The 4981-nt window shown below is 46.4% G+C and overlaps 2 annotated features.

Annotated features, from left to right (window-relative positions):
- Positions 639–748: an enhancer, noted in NCBI's record as "active region_13063". NCBI's record gives its function as "activates an Ori minimal core promoter by ATAC-STARR-seq in GM12878 lymphoblastoid cells {active_cell/tissue: GM12878}" and the evidence as "EXISTENCE:reporter gene assay evidence [ECO:0000049][PMID:35858748]".
- Positions 1739–2271: an enhancer, noted in NCBI's record as "H3K27ac-H3K4me1 hESC enhancer chr18:8990234-8990766 (GRCh37/hg19 assembly coordinates)". NCBI's record gives its function as "activates a minimal SCP1, AML or CMV promoter by ChIP-STARR-seq in primed H9 embryonic stem cells {active_cell/tissue: H9 hESC(primed)}" and the evidence as "EXISTENCE:reporter gene assay evidence [ECO:0000049][PMID:30033119]".

A 4981-nucleotide genomic window follows, 5' to 3' on the forward strand; every position in this document is an offset into this window, starting at 1 on the left:
AGACTTCCCCTGAATGTAGTTTGCCCACTTACAGGTGGGTACCTTTAGACCATGAGACTTGGATAGTCCTTCCCACAATGGAAGCCTGTGTGCCCTACCTTTTTTTTAATTAGTGGCTTTCTTTAGCAGTTGATTCCAAGGCCTATTACATTTAAAGAGAAGTTTTTGAAAATTGGTACCACTAAGGATTGGCACCGTTAAGCCTCCTCAGCACAAAAGAAGGGGATTGTTACTCCTTTGAGAGCCCTTTCCTGTGGGAGTCCCTGATACTGCCATGGACCCTCCCTGTGCACATGTCCATATCCAGATCAAATGTGGTCTCCATGAAACTTGCGAAGCAACAGCTTCCATTTAATCCACACTTGCCGTGTGCTGGGGGCTTTATGAGTGTTTTCTCATGTAATTCTCACAGCAATCTTCTGAGGTAGGTATGATTACCTCCACTACGTGGTTAAGGGCACCGAGGCACAGTGAGGTCCTGGAGCTGGTCCATGGCAAAGCTGGGATTTGAACCCAATTGGCCTCTTCCCCAGGCCTATGACCCTCCTTTCATCCAGCATCCCTTGATTTCCCCAGCCAAAGTGTCATCTCCCTCCTCTTTGTTTCTGTCTCCTAATGCCATTTTCGACTCCTTCCTTCAGATTATATTTTCTGTTTCTCTAAACCACAGACTGCAACTCTACGAGGGGCATCGTCCTCTGCTGTGTTGTGTGTGCACACACAGATTCTCGCTTGAGGTGGTTACTCAATTCACTCATCCAGGTTGTGAAATTGCAACTGCTTCAATTTTTTGTTCTATTTCAGTCGTTCTGAGTTGGTGTCTCCCAAGGTATATCTAAGGATCCCCAGTGTCAGAGAATAGCCCAGGGAATTGTAGTTATTTGCATTCAAATCTGCTCTTATAGGAGGAGGACTGTCAACTAATGGTGCTGTATATAACAAAGGCAGAAATGGGATTGACCACTGAGAGAGGAAGAGGGGAAGAGAGAGCTGCAGCCAGACTGGTGGCAGGACCACCTGGGAACAGTGTCTTGGTTCACATATTTTGGGGAAAGTGATCAGCAGGCAGGGAGCAAAGAGTTCTGTTGGCTCCATCCTGGAGCAGGCTGAGTAGAGGCATCAAGGAAAAAAATGTCCCTGGTTTGCTGACTCTTCCTCTTTTTTTTTTTTTTTTTTTTGAGACGTAGTCTGGCTCTGTCGTCCATGCTGGAGTACAGTGGTGCAATCTCAGCTCACTGCACCCTCCACCTCCTAGGTTCAAGTGATTCTCCTGCCTCAGCCTCCCAGGATTACAGGTGCTAGGAGGCTGAGGATTACAGGCGTCCACCACCCACGCCCAGTACTGTAAAAGTGCTGGGATTACAGTCCTCCACCACCATGCCCTGCTAATTTTTGTATTTTTTTTTTAGTACAGACAGAGTTTCACCATGTTTACCAGACTGGTCTCGAACTCCCGACCTCAGGTGATCCGCCCACCTTGGCTTCCCAAAGGGCTGGGATTACAGGCATGAGTCACCGCACCAGGCCAGGTTTGCTGACTCTTGGGAGTCTGGCTGTGTTGTAAGTGACAGGCTGCCCTGGGTTCTCCACCTTCAGCTATGAGCACCATCCTGCATGAGGTTCCTCAGCAGGGGACTGAGCACTCGCAGGTCGCTGCCAGGACGTGCAGAGGAAAGCAAGACCATCGCGTCAGTGTGGGAAAAGTGAAGAGCGAGGCCCAGGACTCTGAGAGAAAGGAGTCCTGGCCCAGAGGTTGTGTGAGGAAAGCGTGGGATAAATGGGATGCCCGAAAGCAGAGTTTGGGGTGATTAGATAGGAAAATAAAGATTGGTGGGTGTAAAGAAAGGAAAGAAATAACAGGTGTAGACAGAAAAATTCACAATAAGAATGACCGTGGGCGTGGGACACAGGCCGGTCAGGCAGATGGTCAGACACCTGGAGAGGTGCCCAGCAGCTTGGAGCCCTCGGGAGCTCAGGGCACCAGCTACTGACCCGGACGGAGCAGCACAGGGTCTTCCCCACCGCTGCTCTCATGGGGCGCACACCGGCTGAATGTCTGCAAGGGGTATAGGAAAGAGGAGAGAGAAACATGAATATCCGAGGTCACCAAAGGACATGCAAGCCAGTCAGTGACAAAAGGGAACGTGGCACAGCATGGAGGAGCCGCCCTTAGGTCAGATCAGGCCTGTCATCGTCACTGGTGACCCTCCCTGCCGGGGGAGGTGGCCCTGGCAGCAAGCACCTGTCCTGCTGGCTGAGCGGCAGCCCACGTGTCCGGGGCAGGGTGGCCAGCTGGCCAGCTGGGCCAGAGCCCAGAGTGCTGAGGCTCGCAGCCCGATCTCGGCAGTCCTGTACCGTCGCATCAGGCCACAGGCCACAGGCCACAGGTGGCTCTTCCCGCATGCCGGAGGAAACACAAAATCCCTGCCAGCAGAGAAGGAGCGGCCCAGCCACTTGCCTGTGGGTTTCATGAAATGTGCGACTCTGATCTCATACCCCTTAGAATTTCTAGTAAAAGATCCAGAATGTCTGACTTCCCAAGAAGGAACCTTCATGGGAAAGAATAGGCAGGAATGTTTTCAGAGCCAGTTCCTCAATTTCTCCAGGTTCCAAAAAGCTGCAAGACCATACTCACCTCTTCAGGGTCTCCACATCCCCTGAATATCATATTCAGCTGTTGTTCTCATCACATCTTGAGTAAATTTTTGTGGCTGTTTCTAATTATTCCCTCTGCCTGGGGAGTTCATTTTGCATCACCGTGTTACTTTGGGCCATCTAAAACTATTCCCATCTTACCATATGTGTTCGGCTCTCACTAATTGGGGAAAGTTATTTTTAGTATTTCCTCTTCTTTCCATCTTTGCAGATCTGCCCTATTTAGGGAAAAAAAAAATCCTAAAGCAGTTTTGTGTTTTTTAGAGACATACCAGAGATGCTTTTAAAGTTCTACAAGCAACATTTTCATGTTCAATGTGGAGGTCAGTAAGAGACCAAAAATCCCAAATCCCAGATTGTACCTCCTACTCTCTGTGATGGATTAGAAAGAAAACAGGATCCTCTTCATCCTTCAAGACCCAGTCAGTTTTGTCGCCTCTGAGAAGTCTTCTCCTGTGTCTGCTTCCACCCCACCCTGCTTCAGGAAGACTCACGTTGCCTAGAATTCAACAACCACCCTGGAACTGTGCCTTCTGTTTTTTATGTTTCAGATACATACCCATACCCCAATAATTCTACCAAATTTAAGCTATCTTTATGAAACTAAATATGAAGATTCAAATTAGATTTAAAACTCATTTAGCTAATCTGTTCCAAAAGCAACTTCTGTCTGTTAATTGGTCGTTTGGTAAGCAGCTTTAGACTCATTTTAGTACCTTAACTTAAAATACCACTCTCGGCACACAAATACTTGTTTATTGATGTCGAAATTAAGAAATTGTATTTCTTTTTTTTAAGACAGAGTCTTGCTCTGTCACCCAGGCTGGAGTGCAGGCACAATCTATGCTCACTGCAACCTCAGCCTCCTGGGTTCAAGTGATTCTCCTGCCTCAGCCTCCCAAGTAGCTGGGATTACAGGCATGTGCCACCATGCCCCGTTAATTTTTGTATTTTTAGTAGAGATGGGGTTTTGCCATGTTGGCCAGGCTGGTCACGAACTCCTGACCTCAGGTGATCCACCCACCTCAGTCTCCCAAAGTGCTGGGATTACAGGGGTGAGCCACCACACCCAGCCAGAAATTGTATTTTCTTATCATCTGGTTTAATATTTTGCTTTTTTAACTGTTACTTCACCAAAATAATAAAAAAGCAGTTTTGAACCACATAGGAAAATGAATCTTTTCCTAATTTTGGCCAGGGTAGACCTGCTGGTAGTACTCAGAAATCGGTTACTATTAAAACAGTTTAATTTTTTCAGTTCTTCATTATTCAAAGACTCCAATTAGCACCTCTTTCAAATATGTGAGCAGAGAGCTTCATAAAAATTTAATTAGGCCGGGTACATTGGCTTATACTTGTAATCCCAGCACTTTGGGAGGCCAAGGCAGGAGAACAGCTTGAGCTCAGGAGTTTGAGGCCAACCTGGGCAACACAGAGAGACCTGTCTCTAAAAAAAGAAAAGAAAAAAGACTTAATAAAAAAGAATTAATCCACTGCACACCTATTAGAAAGGCTAAAATCCAAAACGCTGACAACACCAAATGCTGGTGAGGATGTGGAGCAACAGGAATTCTCATCCATGGCTGGTGGGGAATACAAAATGGTACCGCCACTTTAGAAGAGAGTTTGGCAGTTTCTTACAAATCTAAACATACTCAGCTGGGTGCAGTGGCTCATGCCTTTAATCCCAGCACTTTGGGAGGCCGAGACGGGTGGATCACCTGAAGTCAGGAGTTCAAGACCAGCCTGGGCAACATGGTGAAACCCATTTAAAATTTTTTATTCTACTAAAAATACAAAAATCAGCTGGCATGGTGGCACGTGCCTGTAGTCCCAGCTACTTCGGAGGCTGAGGCAGGAGAATCACTTGAACTCGGGAGGCGGAGGTTGCAGTGAGACGAGATCATGCCACTGCACTCCAGCCTGGGCAACAGAGTGAGACTCCATATCAAAAACAAACAAAGAAAAAAAAAAACTTAAACATACCCTCACCATAAAATCCAGCAATTGCACTCCTTGGTGTTTACCCAAAGGAGTTGACAACATAACCACACAAAAACCTGCATGCAGACATTTATAGCAGCTTTACTCATAATTGCCAAAACCTGGATGCAAACAGCATGTCCTTAGGTGAATGGATAAACTGTGTTACATCTAGACAATGGAATATTATTTATTGCTAAAAAGAAATGAGCTATCAAGCCATGAAAAGATATGGAGGAACTTTAAATGCATATTAGTATGTGAAGGAAGACAATCTGAACATCTACATACGCTATGGTTCCAACTATATGATATTCTGGAAAAGGCAAAACTGTGGAGACAG

This window comes from Homo sapiens, chromosome 18 (genome assembly GCF_000001405.40).
Source record: "Homo sapiens chromosome 18, GRCh38.p14 Primary Assembly".
NCBI classification, from domain to species: domain Eukaryota; kingdom Metazoa; phylum Chordata; class Mammalia; order Primates; family Hominidae; genus Homo; species Homo sapiens.